General features: G+C 46.9%; 1 long non-coding RNA gene across 4 annotated transcripts in view, besides 4 other annotated features; it reads right to left on the bottom strand.

The window, feature by feature from the left end:
- Window positions 1-19,988, bottom strand: part of LOC105371525 (uncharacterized) — a 50,875-nt gene that overhangs the window by 15,947 nt on the left and 14,940 nt on the right. For 2 of the 4 annotated variants that reach the window (XR_001752781.1, XR_001752784.1), the window contains exon 2: window positions 14,281-14,370. This is a non-coding gene — a long non-coding RNA (uncharacterized LOC105371525). Of the gene's footprint in view, window positions 1-1,035; window positions 3,617-4,576; window positions 5,065-14,280; window positions 14,371-19,988 lie in introns of those variants that run through there. The other 2 variants (XR_934213.3, XR_001752783.2) reach the window with 2 other exon arrangements.
- Window positions 7,825-8,119: an enhancer, noted in NCBI's record as "tiled region #493; K562 Activating non-DNase unmatched - State 23:Low, and HepG2 Activating DNase unmatched - State 9:DNaseU". NCBI's record gives its function as "activates a minimal TATA promoter and a strong SV40 promoter by Sharpr-MPRA in K562 cells, with weaker activity in HepG2 cells {active_cell/tissue: K562 | HepG2}" and the evidence as "EXISTENCE:reporter gene assay evidence [ECO:0000049][PMID:27701403]".
- Window positions 7,825-8,449: a biological region, named in NCBI's record as "Sharpr-MPRA regulatory region 493".
- Window positions 7,940-8,449: an enhancer, noted in NCBI's record as "H3K27ac-H3K4me1 hESC enhancer chr17:8600379-8600888 (GRCh37/hg19 assembly coordinates)". NCBI's record gives its function as "activates a minimal SCP1, AML or CMV promoter by ChIP-STARR-seq in naive H9 embryonic stem cells {active_cell/tissue: H9 hESC(naive)}" and the evidence as "EXISTENCE:reporter gene assay evidence [ECO:0000049][PMID:30033119]".
- Window positions 8,450-8,960: an enhancer, noted in NCBI's record as "H3K27ac-H3K4me1 hESC enhancer chr17:8599868-8600378 (GRCh37/hg19 assembly coordinates)". NCBI's record gives its function as "activates a minimal SCP1, AML or CMV promoter by ChIP-STARR-seq in naive H9 embryonic stem cells {active_cell/tissue: H9 hESC(naive)}" and the evidence as "EXISTENCE:reporter gene assay evidence [ECO:0000049][PMID:30033119]".

Genomic DNA, 19,988 nt, shown 5'->3' with positions numbered 1-19,988 from the left:
TGGGTCATTATCTGCAGAGCAATGAGATGCTCGTGAATGATTTTAAGTGGTCAAGTGTGCAAGGGGTAAATGATAAGACTGGGGCTTTTGCAGCTTTACCCTGGCTGTTGTGTGGAGAATGAAGTGGAGAGAAGAGCAAGGAGGTACTGCCGTTATCTAAGGGAGGAATGATGGCTTGCACAAGGGCGGTGGCAGCACAGATGGAGGTAAGTGGATGGATGTGAACTATATTGAGGAGGAAAAGCTGGGATTGGAGTTAGATTGGATGTGGAGACAGCAAGACAGAAAAAGGCCTGAGGGGCTGGGTGCAGTGGCTCACACCTGTAATCCCAGCACTTTGGGAAGCTGAGGTAGGTGGATCACTTGAGGTCTTTGAGACCAGCCTGGCCAACATGGTGAAACCCCATCTCTACTAAAAATACAAAAATTAGCTGGGCTTAGTGGCACACACCTGTAATCTCAGCTACTCAGGAGGCTGAGGCAGGAGAATCACTTGAACCCGGGAGGTGGAGGTTGCAGTGAGCCAAGATCGTGCCACTGCACTCCAGCCTGGGCGACAGAGTGAGACTCTGTCTCAAAAAAAGAAAAAGGTCTGAGGGATGACTTTAGGTTCCTGGTTGGGGAAACTGGATGGATAGCAGAGGTGCCATCCACTGAGATGAAGAACCTTGGAAAAGCACCAGTTTTCTGGGGAAAGATCATGAGTTCATTCTCTTCAATAGTTAATTTGAAGTGTCTTTGAAATATACAAGTAAAGATGTATTGTATACAGTCAGATATGGGCCTAGAGCTCAGAGACTCAAGGCCAGAGATGCAGATTTTAGGACTGTATTAGTCAGGGTTGGCTAATATATATAATGGTTAAGAAAGAAAAATCACAAGAAAGAAAAAGAAGATCTGAACAATGCTGTCAACCACTTGACCTAACTGACATTTGTAGAACACTCCAAGTACACATTGTACATTCTCCAAGATAGACCATAAAACGAGTTGGGCCATAAAACGAGTCTCAATACATTTCAAACTATTGAAACCTTCGATAAATCTTAATTTATTGAAATTAGAAGTCAATTACAGTAAGATATCTGGCACAACCCAAATATTTGGAAATTAAATACACACTTCCAGATAACCCATGGGTAGAAGAATAAGTCACAAAGAAAATGAGTAATTAAAAATTATTTTGCACTGAACAATAAATAAAAGTATAATCTATCAAAATTTGTGATTTACAACTAAAGGAGTGCTTAAAGGAAAATATTTAGCTTTATTAGGAAAGAAGAAAGATGTAAAAGTAAGGATCTAAGGTTCCACTTCAAAAAGCTAGGATAAAAAAGAGCAAAGTAAACTTTAAGTAGAAGAAAGGAAAAAATAATAAAAAAACAGTCAATATTTGTGAAGCAGAAAACATATAAGAAGAGAAAATTAACAAAGCCAAAAGCTGGTTCATTGAAAATATCAACGAAATTTATAAACTCCTAGCTGGCTAGGTTGATTAAAGAGACAGCATGCAAATTATAAATTTAGGGAATGAAAGGAGATATTGATAGTAACAGGAGGCAGTCAAATGCCTCGGCAGACAGGAGCAGGTCCCTGGTGAAGCCCCACCTCCAAACCAAAGACAGTTTAAAGCCTGAAAGCCAAACTACAAGTTAAATCCTTGGACTGGATTAAGAATTTGTCCTCCTGTTTGGTGTGCCTTCCTCTGATTGATCCCCACCTTTCACCTATTTTACATATACCTACCCTTTCCTAATTGGTTTTCTACACTGTCATGCCCACCTTTGAGTGATCTCTTAATTTTAACCTTCTTTGCATACTCACAAACCAATCAGCACACACTCCCCATCCTGTGCCTATAAAGACTCAGTCAGTAGAAGGGGAGATGGCCTGACTTCGAGGAAGAGACAACCTGACTTTGGGGAAGACAACCTTCCCTTCCCATCCCCTCTCCAGCTCCCCTCTCCACTGAGAGCTGTTTCCGTCACTCAATAAAATGCTCTGTCTTCACCCACTCATTGGGTCCCAAGCTCTTGTCCAGCATCCAGGCAGAATGAGGTCATGCAGGTGATGGAAGAGTTTCTTCCTGGATGCTGGATAAGACCTCAGGACCCACCAAGTGCAGGTACCCAGAAAAGGCTGTCACAATGGCCCTTTGCCCTCAGCAGCGGAGGGCAGCTACCCCACATGACGAGGCAAGGGGCCAACTAAGCTGCTAACACACCACTGTCCATCAGACCATGGACAGTGGAACTAAAAGACTACTATAACACACCCCCTTTGGGGCCTCGGGGTCATGGGCAACCTCACCTGGGTGTCACTGTTCCCCTCAAGGTGACACACCTGGTCTGGCCACAGGCCCCCCAAACAGAGCTTGCTCCTGTGGCAAGCCAGATCCTGCAGCGAGCCAGATCCTGCACTCACTCTCTCACATGCTCCCTCCCTCAAGGGGCTGAGCGCAGTGAGCCAAATAGATGGGGCGCCCCTGCCACAAGTTCGGCAAAGGGGCCGAAAAAAATCCTGCATCAATATCACCACAGAGCCCACAGGCATTAAAAGGTAATAAGAAAATATTATGAACAACTTTATGCCAATAAATTTGGCAACTGAGACGGGCAAAATGGCTTGATAAGATTACAAAATGAAATCCAAAATCTAAATAGTTCCATCTATTAAAGAAATTGAATTCATTATCAGAACATTTCCCACAAAGAAAACTTCAGAAGATGATAGATCGTAAATCTTTTCAACGTACACACAAAGGGTAACTATGTAGAAGAGGTAGATATTTAATTGGCTGTGTTGTGATCATTTCACAATCTATATCAAAACATCAAGTTGGGGGATGGGGGGCTAGGGGAGTGATAGCATGAGGAGAAATACCTAATGTAGATGACAGGTTGATGGGTGCAGCAAACCTCCATGGCACATATGTAACAAACCTATGTATACCTATGTAACAAACCTGCACATTCTGCACATATATCCCAGAACTTAAAGTATAATAAAAAATATTATTTAAATAAAACTATTGTTTAGAGTTAAATCAAGTTGTACAGCTTAAATATGTACAATTTTTAAATGTCAATGCTATATAAGTAGAGCTTTTGAAAAGAAAGAAAAGACAGAAAGAGAGACAAAGAAGAAAGAAAGAGGAAGGAAGCTCCTAGCCCAGATAGTTTCCCTGGTGAATTCTATCAAACATTTGAGAAAGAAGTTACACAAATCTTAAGCAAATTCTTTCAGAAAATAGAGCAGGAAAGAACTCTTCTCAGTTTGTTTGAGGAGGCTAGCAATAACCAGATACCAAAATCTAACAAAGATGTTACAAGTAAATAAATAGATACATAAATAAATAATGCCAAACCTCAGTATCTTAATTCAGTTAAGATCTATTTCTCCAAAGCGGATACTAGGGAAGACTGCTCATCATAGACCCTCAGAGACCAGGCTGAGGAAACTTCCATCTCAGCAGGTGCTTCCACTATGATTAAGGCAGAGACAGGGACATCGTGAATTGCAAGTTGACTCTGAAAGATTCTGTCCGGAAGTGACGTGTCATTTACTCTCATCTTCATAACCATGTCCCAAGGAGGTGAGGAAGTCCTAACATGTTCTTGGAAGCAGAGGAGAAGGAAGAGCTGTTATCACAAGGGTCACAAATGTATATATAGTAACAGAAGAGCCTAAATAACTAACACACAGCCCAGGCACATGGTGAAACCCTGTCTCTACAAAAAATACAAAAAGTAGCCCGGTGTGGTGGCATGCACCTGTTGTCCCAGCTACTCAGGAGACTGAGGTGGGAGGATCGCTTGAGCCTGGGAGGCGGAGGCTGCAGTGAGCTGAGATTGCACCACTGCACTCCAGCCTGAGTGACAGAGTGAGACCCTGTCTCAGAAAGAAAGAAAGGAACACAGACAACTGCCCACTGAGAAAGTACAGCGTGGACAGCAAGGGGGCCCTGGGCCAGCGCTTGAGGAACCCCACCAGCCTGGCAGTGGACCTGAGCTGGCGAAGGAGGCTGAAACGGGGCAACAGAGAGAAAGAGGCGAAACATCTGGTGAGTTCAATGAGAAACTTGACCATCTGTGTCTAGTGTGATTGTGGGTCATGCAAGGTGAGGACTGGAACAACTAGGATGTCACTGGCACCGCAGCAAGACTTACGTCAATGGAGTGATGGAGAGGAACCCAGAATGGAATGAGCAAGAACTGAGTGAGGGGAAGAGACGAAAATGGGGAATGTGGAAAAACCTTTCCAGAAGCTGGTCGTGAAGGGAAGGAAGGCAGTAACTGGAGAAGGTCTTGTGTTGGAGAGGGTTGGTTGGTTTGTTCTTTCAGTGGGAGAGACCTGAAATGTTTAAATGTTGATGGGAAGGGTCTGGTTTGGAGGAAGCGGTTAAATATAGAAGAGAAGCGAGTCACCCATAGTATAAGGCTCCTGGAAGCTGGAGGCTGAAAGTTGACAGTGAAGAATGCCATGAGGTGGAATGGGGAGGCCATGGCAAGTGCCACATCTTAGCAGGTGCGTAGTGAGAAAAGACACAGCCCCTGAGAGACAGGCTGAGACTCACTGGTCCCTGGGGCCACTTCCGCTCTGACTTCCAGTTCCAGTTCTGGTTCTTCTGCGTGTCCTTACAACAACCTCCTTTTTCCCGACGATATGTGTTCATTCAACAAATATTTATGGGCCACCTACTACATGCTAAGCCCAGTCCTGACAGCTGCAGAGAGGGCAGTCAGCAAGACCGATGCCCGTCCCTACCCTCAGAATCTTTTCTTGCATCCGACGAAGCTGAGTGACCAATCCCTTTGGCAATACAGATGCCCTCCATTTGGATTGGTTTATGAGAGAGCAACAAATAGAGGCAACAGATATGAGGGTCAGAAGATAGTGCACTTCCCATAACAGGAAGGGGGCTCTTGGACACAGCTCCTCTTCTGGAAGGTCTTGGGGGCTTTGTTGCGGGGAGGTGTCCAGATGTGTCTCTGGGGTAACTGGATGCAGAGATTCGCTCTCTGCTGTGAAGGTGCTGAGATAGGCACGTGCCTGTGCTGAATCCTATACAAAGAAAGCGAAAGAAACCAACAAATTGACCCCCCCCACACACACACATAGAAGCATCTCCACTGTTTGTTTGCTGTTGCTGTTCTTTTCTTTTTTGGTGTAGAAATTGAGCACATACACAAAGGAATCTCCACTGCCCATCACTCTAGCTGCTGCTGACCTCTCCTCCAAACACTCCTATGTGCTCCATGTGTCCCATTTGACTACGAGTCACATACTTTCTCTAACATCTTAGTTTCAGCTACTCAAAACCAGCACTGATTCTGGTCTTTTCTGTTATGTGGGCCCATACATTTCTTTCTATACTTCAGTTTAAAATGAATTTTTTTGGCCAGGCATGGTGGCTCACACCTGTAATCCCAGCACTTTGGGAGACCAAGGTGGGACGATCACCAGAGGTCAGGAGTCCAAGACCAGCCTGGCCAACATGGTGAAACTCTGTCTCTACTAAAAATAAAAAAATTAGCTGGGCGTGAGGGCAGACACCTGTAATCCCAGCTACTCGGGAGGCTGAAGCAGGAGAATCACTTGAACCCAGGAGGCAGAGGTTGCAGTGAGCCAAGATCGCGCCACTGCACTCCAGCCTGGGCAACAAGAGCAAAACTTCTTCTCAATAAATAAATAAATAAATAAATAAATAAATAAATAATAAAATAAATAAAATAGAAGTTTAAATCTCTTGTAGTGAAAAGAATCTTATCTAAGAGACCCAGAGTCAAGTCCTGCCCCACCTTACCTGCCTGCCACCCTGGGCCAAGCACCCCATCAAGGACATCTCTGCCTGTATTAGTCATCTATGGCTGCATGACAAATTACCCCAAAATTTAGTGACTGCAGTGGCCAATCTCCAAGATGGCCTTAAAGACCCTCACCTCCTGGAACTGGTGCCCTTGCATAGTCTCCTCCCTGATGGTATCACAGTAGCTCTGAACAGAATACAACGGAAGTGACTGTGCGGCTGCCAAGGGTGGGTCATAAAAGACAGTGCACCTGCCCTTCACTTGCCCTAAGCATGTCCCACTGCATTGCATTGGGATTTCCAAACGAATACACAGGCACGTCCCTGGCCTAGCCCTGAGGAGCCAAGGAGGTGGAAGCAAAGCCTCGGCTGAGTCCTAAAATATGATCCTCCCCTCTGAATGCACAGGGAACACAGGTCTCTGAGGCATGTGCCATGAAGGACACTCACCCTTCAGAACAGGCTTTCGAACCCTCCAGGATGCCAGGGAACACATCTGATCAATGTATCCACACTAAAGCGGAGCATCAGACAGATCCCCAGGCCCTATCTCCCTCCTGGACCACACTGGAGGGCTTTCTCAGGGACCTCCTGCAGCCAATGCCCACCACTGTGGTCAGCTAAAGGAGGAGCCACAGTTCCCGCGGGCGAGGCGTGAGGGGACACACATCCGAGCTGAGCCTTGGATGGGGGAGGCTGGGCTCTAGACTCTGTGCTTCGCCCCCCACTCCCACCACCTCTGCTGACCAGCTGTCTCCGCTGCTGTCTGTGTCTTCCCCTTGCGGAGAGCCCAGAGCATTCTCCAGCTCCCTTTCCATCAACAGCCTCCTGGCTCTCCCGCCCACGCACTTCCCACTTCCACTCCTCCTCTCCCCTTCCTGGCTGAGTGCCCTCCCCCAGGCCTGCCGTCTCTCCCTGGTTCTCATTTGAACATCATTTTTCTTCTTTTCTTCCCTTTTGCTAAATGTCCTTGCTTATGTGATGTGGCATTGAGTATACATTTCCGGGCATATTCGTGTGTGTGTGTGCGCGCGCGCGCGCGTGCACACGTGCCTGACCTGACCCATGCTCCGCGGTGGTGGACTGAGCTGTGAGATAGAAGGCTGGGAGCTGGGAGTGGGAGATGGTGACAGAGACCCAGTCCCTTTAACATCTCCTAGAAAAAGGCTCCATGCTCTGGCCCCTGTTTACCTCCAGCCTCACGTCTCTCCACACCTGGAGGCACTCAGCCCCATCTGGTCTCTCTCCCCCGCTTTCTCTCCTCAGCCCGGGGTTTCCGGTTCTAATCCCCATCCATCATTAGGCTAACTACTGCTTGTTCTTTAAGATTCAGCTCAAGTGTCGCCTCCTCCCAGAAGCTTCCTTGAGCCCTTGTGTCTGGCTGGATGCCCCGTATGGCAGCAGTCCATTGCCTCATCCAGGACACGCTGCGTGAGAGCCAGGATCTGCTCTATACTGTCACCTTCCTCTGGCCTCCTGCACAATGTCTGGCCCAGAGTGGGAGCTCCCTTGCAGGGTGGTGCACGCAGCCATGCATCAGGTGTGGATGCTGGGGACAAGGCAGAGCAGAAGAAAGGAAGAAAGAAAGTTTGGGGAGAGAAAAATTGTGTGTGTGTGTGTGTGTGTGTGTGTGTGTGTAAATTTTATTCTATTTTGTTCCCCCAGATAAGCTATGTGGACTGAACATTTTTCCTGGCAGGTTAAGGTTCAAGGGAATTTAAGGGATGTTGGGGGCCATGTGATCTTTGGGATTGGGGGTGGACAGAACCCCAGTGGGACTATGCCCCCCACCTCCTACCCACATACATACTGGCGCCACACTAGGCTGCTTTCTGGAAAGAATGTGAGTTATCACTTAGTTTCTAATCTTCCTGGTTTAAGGCCAGAGGCAAATACATTGGCAGCTCAGGCCCTCGCTAATTATCCTCCCCACCCCAAACAAACGTTGGGGTGAACGGGTGAAGGGATGGCAGCCCCGCCCCCAGCTCCCTGCTCCCCCAGTCAATCTCTGAGCCCCTTTGGTTTCCGGAGCAAAGTTGCGGGGCAGAAGGCTGGGAGAGAGGCTGGAAGGGGCTCGAGCCAGGCAGGCTGCATGCTCCAGGGGCTGACGCAATTGGGGAATTTGACTTCTTTTTATCACATATATCATTTTGCCATATATGGTCACCGAGAGCTACTGGCAGCGAGGCCCAGGTCCAGATGGTGGGCTCCTAGAGTGAAATGAGCTACATACCAGCCCAGAACAAACAGACCATCGCTCACTCCGCTGGACAGGTGGGTGGGCCAAGGGAGGGGTTATATATAGTTCTGGTCACATTCCTTCACTCATGCATCTTGGCCCCCAATTCACAAACAATCTCCATTTCTGGCCCTTTTTACTGAATTTGCTAATTGCTATTCTTCTATAACCAAGGGAACGAAAAAAAATCCCAGAAGGAATGTGGGGGTAGAGACACGCAGGCCCTCCTGTCCCTGCCTTGATCCGCAGCCCTTCCGCTCCTCCCCCACCTTTGCCTTCCTCCCTGGCAGGTCCCTGAAGTCTTTCCCCTCCTCACCACCCCCAGAGGGGCCTCTGCTGCTGACTCTCCTTCTTTCTCCCCTCGCCAACGCCCCCGCTCTTTCCTGCACCCCTTCAGCCCAGGTGAGCTGCCCAGGTGCAGACCAGCCCCTGAGGCTGAGCAAGACTCCAAGAAGTGTGGAGTCACCACAGACAACATCCCCCAGCTCCCAGAACCTTTCCTTGCCAATGGTTAGAGGCTCACCCTTCCCAGCTGCCCCAACCAAGCAAGAGATGCTCTCTCCAGCCTTCCCAGGGTGCAGTCACACCTGGCCTGAAGGTAGCAAAAATGGCAACACAGGAATCCAGCCCCTGAGATGTTAACAGACTCAGATAAATATTGTTGATCCCCAGAAACCCCACCAGAAACTCTCCTCTGAGCCCCTGGGCCATCTCCCACACACTGTCAGGAATTTACTTTCTATTTCTAGCCTGAGGCAGTCAGGATTTCCCAGGCTTACACCTCCAGCCCAGACCCTCCCCTGAGCGCCAAACTTACTCATCAGAGGTGACACTGTTGACCCACCAGGGCGGCGGTGCAAGCCTCAAATATAAACCAATTGGACAGGGTTTAGAGTAGTTCTCGAGTGGTAGGGGCAAGCTTGGGGATGCTCGCAGGAGCAGCTGCACCTCCGACGTCCCAGGCAAGGTAGGCCACCAGCCTCTCCCATGATGTCCTGAAACCATCCTCAGAGAAACCACACTCTGGGCAACATACGGCTTTGGTGACCGCTGTCTTCTAATTCACTCCACATAACAGGAATGGTTCTTCCAGCATTGCACTCCCTGTCCCTCTAGCACAGGGGGACTCAACCCCCACTACACAGGAGAAACACAAGGGAGCTTTTCAGTAAGACTGGTGTCTGAGCCCAGTCCAGAAATTCTTATGTCGTGATCTCAGGCAAGGATATAACACGTATCCCAGGTGATTCTGGTGTGTGCAGACCAGACTGACTCTTTCTGGATTGTCTGACCTGAGACCACCAGCTCCTGATTCCCCAACCTGGGGCATTCTCCGGTCTCCTAAGTAAACCCACTGGCCAGAGTGCTAAAAGGGTCTCTTGTTGGAGGATTAGGATGAGCCTTGGCCTGGGAGTTGGAACCCTAACTCCTGCCTGGCTCTGTCCTGAATGACCAGGGGCCCTGCTATTCATGCTTCTGATTTCTTTTCTTTCTTTTGAGACAGAGTCTCACACTATTGCCCAGGCTGGAGTGCAGTGGCACAATCTCGGCTCACTGCAACGTCCGCCTCCCAGGCTCAAATGATTCTCCTACCTCAGGCTCCAGAGTAGCGGAGATTACAGGCAACCATCACCACCACGACTGGCTAATTTTTGTATTTTCAGTAGAGACAAGGTTTCACCATGTTGGCCAGGCTGGTCTTGAACTCCTGACCTCAGGTCATCCACCCACCTCAGCCTCCCAAAGTGCTGGGATTACAGGCATGAGCCACTGCGCCCGGACTATAATTTCTTAAAACCCAGTTTCTCTTCAACCACAAAATCAGGAGGTAGAGAAGTTTAATAAAGATCAAATAGAATCGTTTATAAAATAGTTATACTGCTGAACAATTGCTATGCACTGAACCATGCTTGGCAAGGAAGACATGTTATTTCCTTTGGTTCTGTTACTCTGCCCACTTTAAAGATAAAAGAACTGAGGCTCAGAGAGGCTAAATCCCTTGGCCGAGGTCCCACAACCACTATGTGGGGAAGCTGGAATGCAATCCCAGAATTGTGTTGCATAAGCAACACCATTGCCTTCCATACCACTCAACTATGAAGGTACTCACTGCCATTTGTCTTTTCCTGGGAGGTCAAGGCTAAACCTGGCAAGACAACTCCAAGAGGGCACTTCAGGTGGTGCAGAGAAACGCCCTTGGCACAATCCTTGATTTGACACAAGCAACGTGGTGTTCCTCTTGTCCCCATTGTGGGCCACCCAGAAGTGGTTTTCCATGCATGCTCCTTCATTTAATAAGAGCACAAAATTGCCGTTGGTCCAAAGATTAGGTGGAGAACGCACAGGGAAAGAGGCCAGCAGCCACTCTCTGTTCAGCAGGAAGGAAAAATAGAAAAGGAGGATGGCTGAGTGAACAGTGGGGTGTCTCCAACCCAGAAAGCAAGCAGCATGTGGGTTCAAGCTTCTGCCTATCTCACCACTCCACTTTCTACATTCTTTTGAGCAGAATCAGAAGGAAGAGGAATTTGAGCTTAGAAGAGGGGTGAGACCGGATGTAGTGGCTCACGTCTGTAATCCCAGCACTTTGGGAGGCCTAGGCGGGTGGATCACGAGGTCAGGAGTTCGACACCAGCCTAGCCAACATGGTGAAACCCTGTCTCTACCAAAAATACAAAAATTAGCTGGGCGTGGTGGCGGGCACCTGTAATTCCAGCTACTCAGGAGGCTGAGACAGGAGAATTGCTTGAACCTGGGAGGCGGAGATTGCAGTGAGCTGAAATCACGCCACTGCACTCCAGCCTGGGCGACAAGAGTGAAACTCTGTCTCAAAAAAAAAAAAAAAAAAAAAAAAAAAAAAAAAAAAAGAAGAAGAAGAAGAGAGATGACAATGAGGTGAGTGTCTTTAGAGGAGTGAAGGTAGAAGGAGCATGAATCAGAAAGCTGGGGTGTGGGAACGGGTTGGCAAATCCAGGAAAAGCCAAGAGGCCAGGTGAGAGAGTCCAGAGAGAGGGTTTTGCCCCTGTGCATTCTCTGTTGACAGCACTTAATGGAATTGGACTTGAGAGATTGGAGTTCAAGAGGCTGCTGATGTCTACTGAGGCATCTGGCCTGGATGTAGGGAAAGCTGCCACCAGTGGGACTTTTGTCACAACGCTGGGACAGTCCGACTGCAGTTAGAGCATGTGTTACTATAAAATTATATTTCTATAAGATAGAATGTAAAGTATAAATACAGAATATAAAATAACTTAGAAAAATATAAAATTATAGTTACATAGCATACGATTATGTATTATCCCTTTCCTCTCATCCTCTTTATTAAACATACACACATAGAGTCAACCCTTAATTTAAAAGTCAAGAAAACCAAGTTTGGAAAGCAATAACTTTTTAAGACAAAATAGAGAGAAACCAGTTCCTAGCTACCTTGGGGCTCCTTTTTCACTCAGGCCAGATTAGAATGATTCTTGCTCTTCTCGCTGATGATTTCTTTTCTGTTCTGTTCTTTTCTTTCTTTCTTTCTTTCTTTTTTTTTTTCTGAGACAAGGTCTCCCTCAGTCATCCAGGCTGGAGGGTAGTGGGTCCATCACAGCTCACTGCAGCCTCGACCTCCTGGACTCAAGCGATCCTCCCACCCCAAACTCCTGAGTAGCTGGGACTACAGGCAGGAGCGATGATACCAGGCTCATTTTTGTATTATTTTGTAGAGACAGGGTTTTGCCATGTGGTCCAGGTTAGTCCCAAACTCCTGGACTCAAGTGATCTGCCCGCCTCGGCCTCCCAAGGTGCTGGGATTATAGGCGGGAGCCACCACACCCCGCCTCCCTGATGTATTTCAGTAAGAGAACACCCTGTCTTTTTGTTTCACCTGCTTGCTTTGATGACACCACACTCCCCTCTCCCCTACAAGGAATTTTTACAAGGCTCAGTTCCACAGCTGCTCTTGGAATTCACACTCCTGATGTTCCAACCGAGCGCTCACGTGCTGCACCACTGGCGGAGCGGATGGAGGGGAGGTCTGGGCTAGGTTTGCAGGTGGGTAAGTCGCCCCGCTCTGGTACCAACAGCCAGTGTCACTATATTACAGAGGATGTGAAGCATCCGCAGCAAACTGCCTCTCTGGCTCTAGTTTTCCACTGCACTCCCAGGGGCAAGAAGCAGGCAAGGAGGAAAAGTTTGTATAAAGTTTCTTGATCCAATCAGGTACGCCCCGAAGGAACTAAGAACCCACCAAAAGGAAGGGCTGACAAGGCCTGGGGGAGTCTGGATCAGGAAAACTAGACTTGGGAGGAGTTCAGGTCTATGGATGATGTCATTGTTTTAAAATGTTTTTATTGTTGAAATGTTCAAACATACACAAAAGTAAATAGTACTAAGAACCTCCTCATACCTGTCATCCCAGTTTTCACAATTATCAACACTGTGTTCTTACTTCATCATTTCCTCCCACATGGTTGTTTCTTTTTTTGTTTGTTTTCCATAAGATTTTTTTTTCACTCTCTCTCTATATATGTATTGTTTTGTTTTGAGATCGAGTATCGCTGTCACCCAAGCTGGAGTGCAGTGGCGCGATCTCGGCTCACTGCAAAGTCTGCATCCCGGGTTCAAGTGATTCTCCTGCCTCAGCCTCCCAAGTAGCTGGGACTACAGGTGAGCGTCGCCACACCCGACTAATTTTTTTTTTCTTTTTTTCTTTTTTTTTTTTTTGAGACGGAGTCTCGCTCTGTTGCCTGGCTGGAGCGCAGTGGCACGATCTCGGCTCACTGCAACCTCCGCCTCCCAGGTTCAAGGATTCTCCTGCCTCAGCCTCCCAAGTAGCTGGGACTACAGGCACCTGCCACCACGCCCAGCTAATTTTTGTATTTTTAGTAGAGACGGGGTTTCACCATGTTGGCCAGCCTGGCCTTGAACTCCTGACCTCAGGTGATCCACCTACCTCAGCCTCCCAAAGTTCTGGGATTACAGGCCTGAGCCACCAAGCCCAGTAAATTTCAGATACATTATTTCACCCATAAATTCATCAGTATTTTGCTCTAACAGATAAGGAATTTGTTTTTCAATCACTGTGCCAATATCATATCCAACAAAAATAATTCCCTCGTATTAAATAATCTGTGTTCTGTTTTCCCTAAGTGTCTCAAAAATGCCCATTTTCGGTCTGTTCAGATTGGGACCCAAATAAGGTTTACACGTTTCACTTGGTTGACACATCTCAAGTCTTTTGATTTATGACAGTTTCCACCTCCCTGCTCCATATATTTCATGGCACTTATTTTTGAGGAAACTGGGTCATTTGTCCTGTAGAATTAGTCACATTGGCTGACTGTATCCCCATGGGGTCTCTTCTGTTCTTCAAAGATAAAGCCGTGTGTTAAAATACCTGAGGTATTCTCAACTCTGCACATCAGGATCACCTGGGAAGATTTTAAACATTTCAGAATTCCTGATCCTTCCCCCTATGATTCTGATTCCTCAAATCTAGGGTAGAGCCCAGGAGTGTATTTTTTTTCAAGCTGCCCAAGCGATTCTGATGTGCATACCCCAGCTGAGAACCACTGACCTTGAGCATCAGGCTTTTCTCAAAAGGGCTACTGGTTATCCAGAAATAATAATAATAATAATATAAAAGAGAAGGAAGTGGAGGAATGGGAAAAGGAGGGGTTGTAGACAAATACTTAGTACCAAGCACTAATGTAGATTAGGATGACGTAGATTGGGATGGTGTTATTGTGAGAAAAATGAGATTCAATTTATGGGTTTATAAATTTAGACAAAGCCAGGCACAGTGGCTGATGCCTGTAATCCCAGCACTTGAGAGGCCAAGGCAGGTGGATTGCTTCAGTCCAGGAGTTCGAGACAAGCCTGAGTAACATGGCAAAACCCTGTTTCTACAAAAAATTAGCAGGGCATGGTGCAGTCCCAGCTACTCGGGAGGCTGAGGTAGGTGGGAGAATCACCTGTGCCTGGGAAGTTGGGGCTGCAGTGAGCGGTGGTTGTGCCACTGCACTCCAGCCTAGACAACAGGACTGAAACCCTGTCAATAAATAAATTTAGACTAAGAAACAAAAACACTGCATGTAAAAATGCTATAGACCTAGTCCAAGACCTAACCTGTTTTAACTCCTTATTCTCCCAAGCAAATATAATTGAGAGATTCCAGATCATTGGTGGGAATCAGACCCTCCACCCAGAATGGGAGTCTGCCCTCCAAAGGGCCGTTTGGTGCCTTCACCTTTCTTATCTTTCCGGGTGTTCTGAACGCCCTCTCTTGAAGATGGATCCACTTAGTAGTAGAGATCAATTTCATCCTTTGTAAGTCTACCTGTGAACAACAGAAAGAAATGAAAAATAATGCCAAATAAGTTTAAAAACGTTGTTACATTTTGTACATAGGAAAAAATCCCTTATTTAGCATATGAAGAAAGCCATATTCTACTAGAATTAAAAGAAAAATAGTGGCCGGGTGCAGTGGCTCATGCCTGTAATCCCAGCACTTTGGGAGGTCGAGGCGGGCGGATCACGAGGTCAGGAGATCGAGACCATCCTAGCTAACACGGTGAAACCCCGTCTCTACTAAAAATACAAAAAATTAGCTGGGCGTGGTGGTGGGTGCCTGTAGTCCCAGCTACTTGGGAGGCTGAGGCAGGAGAATGGCGTGAAGCCGGGTGGTAGAGTTTGCAGTGAGCTGAGATCGGGCCACTGTACTCCAGCCTGGGCGACAGAGCGAGACTCCGTCTCAAAAAAAAAAAAAAAAAAAAAAAAATCAATTTGAAAAGATATCCTTTCTGGTTGCTACATTTCTCACTATTCACCAGATGTGAGTCAATAAATATTAAACAAGATTTAAACTGGAAACAAAACCCAATAAATTTGACTCATTAAAATATAATTTAGATAATACAGACTGAAAAGATACCATAAACAAAATTAAGTCAAAAGCAACAGGTTAGGAGGAAATATTGGCCAGATATTTGACAAATGTTTTTTCCAAAAAACATTAAAATCTCCCATAAATTAGTAAGAAAAATACAAGTAACTGAGTAGGGGGGAAAAGGACAAAATGCACCAACAAATAATTAACAGAAAAGGATTTCCAACTCGCAAAGAAACAAAACAGCATCAATTGCAGTAGTAATCAAAGAAGTACAAATTAAAACAACAATAAGATTTTTTGGGGGGTGGGACGGGGACAGAGTCTTGCTCTGTCACCAGGCTGGAGTACAAGTGGCACGGTCTCAGCTCACTGCAACCTCCGCCTCCTGGGTTCAAGCGATTCTTCTGCTTCAGCCTCCCGAATAGCTGGGACTGCAGGCGCGCGCCACCGCGCCCAGCTAATTTTTGCATTTTTAGTAGAGACGGGGGTCTCACCATGTTGGTCAGGCTGGTCTCAAACTCCTGGCCTCTGGTGATCCGCCCGCCTCAGCTTCCCAAAGTGTTTGGATTACAGGCGTGAGCCACCGCGCCTGGCCACATACTGTTTTTTTTTTTTTTTTAAGAGATGGGACCTCACTGTGTCACCCACGCTGGAATGCAGTGGTACCATCATAACTCCTATAGCCTTGAACTTCTGGGCTCAAGCAATTCTCCCGCCTCAGCATCCTGAGGAGCTGGGACTACAGGTGCTAGCCACTGTGCCCACCAAGATACAATGTTTTAAGCTCATAAATTGGATTAAAAGTTAAACTAGTTAATAACGTATGTTGGCAAGAGTATGAGGAGGTGGATTCTCTTGTTACTTGTGGAAGTATAAACTGGTCAGACTGCAGGTCAATTTGACAGAATCTATGAAAATTTTAAATGCCTGCAAACTTTGACTCAGGTCTTCCACTTCTAGTACCTAATCTGAAGAAACAGTAGCATGTGTGGCCAAAGAGCCTTTTACAAAGGTTCTTTCATTGATTAATTTAGTCAGTGAACATTTATTGAGTGCCTACTATGTGCCAGACACAATTTTAAGCACAGCAGGAACAGGACAGAAAAAGGTTTTGCTTGGAAGAAGTTGAAGTTCTAATGGAAGGAAACAGAACAGTAAACAAATGAACAATCCAACAAACAAAAGATTAAATCAGATAAAGTTAGGCAGTAATAAGTGTTATGATAAAATAGTTAATACAGAATAATAATGAAGAAAAATTGGAACCCACTTAAATGTCCCTCAAGTGGGAAATAGTTTTAAATTAAAATGTCTATATTATGGAATATTATGTTGTATTTTAAAAGGAAGAGATAAGTCTACATGTATTGACATGGTGAGCTCTCCAACACATAAATTTAGGTTTAAAAAAATGCACAAAACCAGCTGGGCACAGTGGTTCATGCCTATAATCCCAGCACTTTGGGACACCGAGACGGGAGAATTGCTTGAGCCCAAGAGTTTGAGACCAGCCTGGGCAACAGAGGAAGATGACTGCTTGAGCCCAAGAGTTCAAGACCAGCCTGGGCAACATGGGGAGACCCTCATCTCTACGAAATTAAAATTAAAATTAAAAAATTAAAAAACTAGCTGAGGCTACAGGTGCACACCACCTCAAGAGACTGAGGTGGGAGAATCGCTTGAGCCTTAGAGGTTGAGGCTGCAGTGGGCAGTGATGGCACCAGTGCACCAGCCTGGGGTGACAGAATGAGATTCTGTCTCAAAAAAGAAAAAGGCCGGGCTCAGTGGCTCACGCCTGTAATCCTGGCATGTTGGGAGGCTGAGCTGGGCAGATCCTCTGAGGTCAGGAGTTCGAGACCAGCCTGGTCAACATAGTGAAACCCCGTCTCTACTAAAAATACAAAAATTAGCAAGGCATGGTGCTGCACACCTGTAATCACAGCTACTTGGGAGGCTGAGGCAGGAGAATTGCTTGAACCTGGGAGGCGGAGGTTGCAGTGAGCCGAGATCATACCACTGCACTGTCACCTGGACAACAGAGCAAGATTCTGTCAAGAAAGAGAGAGAGAGAGAGAGAAGGAAAGAAAGAGAAAGAAAGAAAGAAAAAAAAGAAAGAAAAAGAAAGAAAGAGAAAGAAAAGAGAAAGAAAGGGAAAGAAAGAAAGGAGAGAGGGAGGGAGGGAAGGAAGGAGAGCAGAAAACATAAAAACTTGTAATTTAGTATGTAGAATTTAATCCCATTTAGGTAAAGAAAAAGTACCAAATCATAGACAGCTACATGTATGTATAGAAGTGAAAAGCTCTAGGAGAATACACAGCACATGGCTAACAGTGATTATTTCTAGACAGGGATTAGAATGTAAAGGGAAGTCAAGGGGAATTTATCTTTTTCTGCATGGTTTGAATGTTTTTTACAATGAGAATGTTTTTATAAATGCCTTGCAAATTAAAAAGAACAAAATAACTGTTAAAGAACATAGAAGAGCATGGAAAGTTTCCCAATTCAATTTACAAAACTAGCATAACCCTGATATTGAAACCTGACAATGTTAGCACAAATGAAGAAGACTGGAGATCAATTTCACTCATGAATATGGATGGAAAATTCCTATGTAGAACATTAGCAAATGGAATCCAGCAGTATATTTAAAAAAAACCATGACTAAGCAGGGTTTATTCCAGAATCACAAGGATGGATGAATATCAGGAAATCTAGTAATACAATTTATCAAGACCATCAGTACTGCCCTTGGATCTAGGCAGCAGGGCCCCCCACTCTGGCTCTCCTCCTGCTTCCAAAGGGTAAAGGATTCTTCAGGACCAAAGGAGGGGAGGAGAGGTGGGGAGGGGGAGGGGGAGAGGGGAGGGGAGAGGAGAGGGGAGGGGAGGGGAGGAGAGGGGTGGAGGGGGAAGAGAGGGGAGGAGATGGCGGGGGAGAGGGGGTGGGAAGGGAGGAGATGGCGGGGGAAAGGGGATGGGAGGGGAGGAGAGGGGAGAGTGGGAAGAGGAGGGAAGGGGAAGGGAGTGGAGAAGAGGGGAGGCGAAAGGAGGGGAGGGGAAGGGGAGGAAGGGGAGGGGAGGGGTAAAGAGAGGGGAGGGGAGGAAAGGGGAAGGGAGAGGATGGGAGGACGGGGAGGGGAGGGGGAGGAGAGGAGAGGGCAGGGGAGGGGAGGGGAAGGGAGTGGGGAGGAGAGGGCAGGGGAAGGGAGTGGGGAGGAGAGGGGAGGGGAGAGGAGGAAAGGGGAGGGGAGGGTTAAGAGAGGAGGGGAGGGGAGGGGGGTGGAGGAAAGGAGAGGGAAGGGGAGAGAGAGGGGAAGAAGGGAGGGGAGGAACTTGTTCTGTGTTTCTCCTCCCTTTTAGACCACACTTCTGGTACCAGGACCCCAGAATTCTCTGTCCAAATGGCCTCAGGCCCATTTCCAGGGCTTACAGGGGCCTGTTGCCTTATTCCATCCCTCAAGGGTGACTCTTACAGCAGAGTGGTACCCACCCCTAGGCCTGAGGGGTGGTCAGGATGAAGCTGGCAGTAGGGATGGAGGTGCAGGAGTATGGAGGCTAGACTTGTGGGCTGGGTGTCCATAGCTATGCACAAGAGGCTCCTTGTGATACCAGATGTTGCAAAGGGTAGGAAGAGAAGGGTGGACGGCTGCAGCCAGAGGTCGGCAATGGCAGGCTCTCTCTGCGCTTTCATATTCTAGCATGATTTTTCGAGAAGTATGAGAATTCTGAATTCAAACCTGGCCTCTCAGGTTGTTATGAAGGTGAATACCATGGTAAGAAGTAAGAACCTATTTTATTTAACAGTTTGATGCCTTGGTTTACAATTTCTAAATATTTAGAAAGATAGCAGGACAGGCCTCTGTTTGTACTATTGGCCCGGAGCCCACAGTCATTAAGGGCAGCCAAACAATAATAGAACCCAGGAGATGGCCGGGTGGTGGCTCATACCTGTAATCCCAGAACTTTGGTAGGCTGAGGTGAGTGGATCACCTGAGTTCAGGAGTTCGAGACCAGCCTGACCAATATGGTCAGCCTGACCCCGTCTCTACTAAAAACACAAAAATTAGCTGGATGTGGTGGCACACACCTGTAGTCCCAGCTACTCAGGAGGCTGAGGCAGGAGAATTGCTTGAACCCAGGAGGCTGAGGTTGCAGTGAGCCAAGATCACACCACTGCACTCCAGCCTGGGTGACAGAGAGAGACTCCATCTAAAAAATAAAATAAAAGATTAACTAAAATTTATAAAAATAATGGAACCCAGGAGAAAAAAGCATGAAGGTAACCCAAATAGAAAAGACACTGGGGAGATGAATTGAGAGAAAGGAGACAGTGTAGGAGGGAGGATAAAAATGGGAACATTCTAAAACGCATCACTAGCTACTGGAGGTGTGCTTGCCAATGCCTTCCCTTGGCCAGGTGGGGTGAAAAATACCAGTGTAAGGAGGGGTGAAGAGGGGACCTTATAAACTGTGAAACTTTGAGGCAGCAAGAGTGGGGACTGTCAGCTAAGAGTTGGAAGCAATTTTTTATCTCTAGAAATAGAAATGTCAATTTATACTTAAGGCTGACCGTTTCTATCATTGTTTGTTTTGACAAAATTCACTAGAATTGAACCTTTCTTGCTCAATGATGAAGCAGGTACCCATCTACTGTTCTTAATTTTTTTTGAGACAGAGTCTCACTCTGTCGCCCAGGCTGGAGTGCAGTGGCGCGATCTCGGCTCATTGCAAGCTCTGTCTTCCGGGTTCACGCCATTCTCCTGCCTCAGCCTCCCGAGTAGCTGGGACTAGCCTGCCACCATGCCCGGCTAATTTTCTGTATTTTTTAGTAGAGACGAGGGTTCACTGTGTTAGCCAGGATGGTCTCGATCTCCTGACCTCATGATCCGCCCGCCTTGGCATCCCAAAGTGCTGGGATTACAAGTGTGAGCCACCGCGCCGGGCCCTATTGTTCTTAAAGAAATCGAGACACCACCACAACCCAAATGCATTTCTTAGTTGTTGTGGTTTCTTCGGGTCAGTCTCTGTGTCTGCTGAGTCAAAGTGTGTAAGAATGTGCCATTACTC

Source organism: Homo sapiens, chromosome 17, assembly GCF_000001405.40.
Source record: "Homo sapiens chromosome 17, GRCh38.p14 Primary Assembly".
Lineage (NCBI taxonomy): Eukaryota > Metazoa > Chordata > Mammalia > Primates > Hominidae > Homo > Homo sapiens.
Note: the sequence above shows the minus strand (reverse complement) of the source record. Positions and strands in the feature narration are given on the sequence as shown.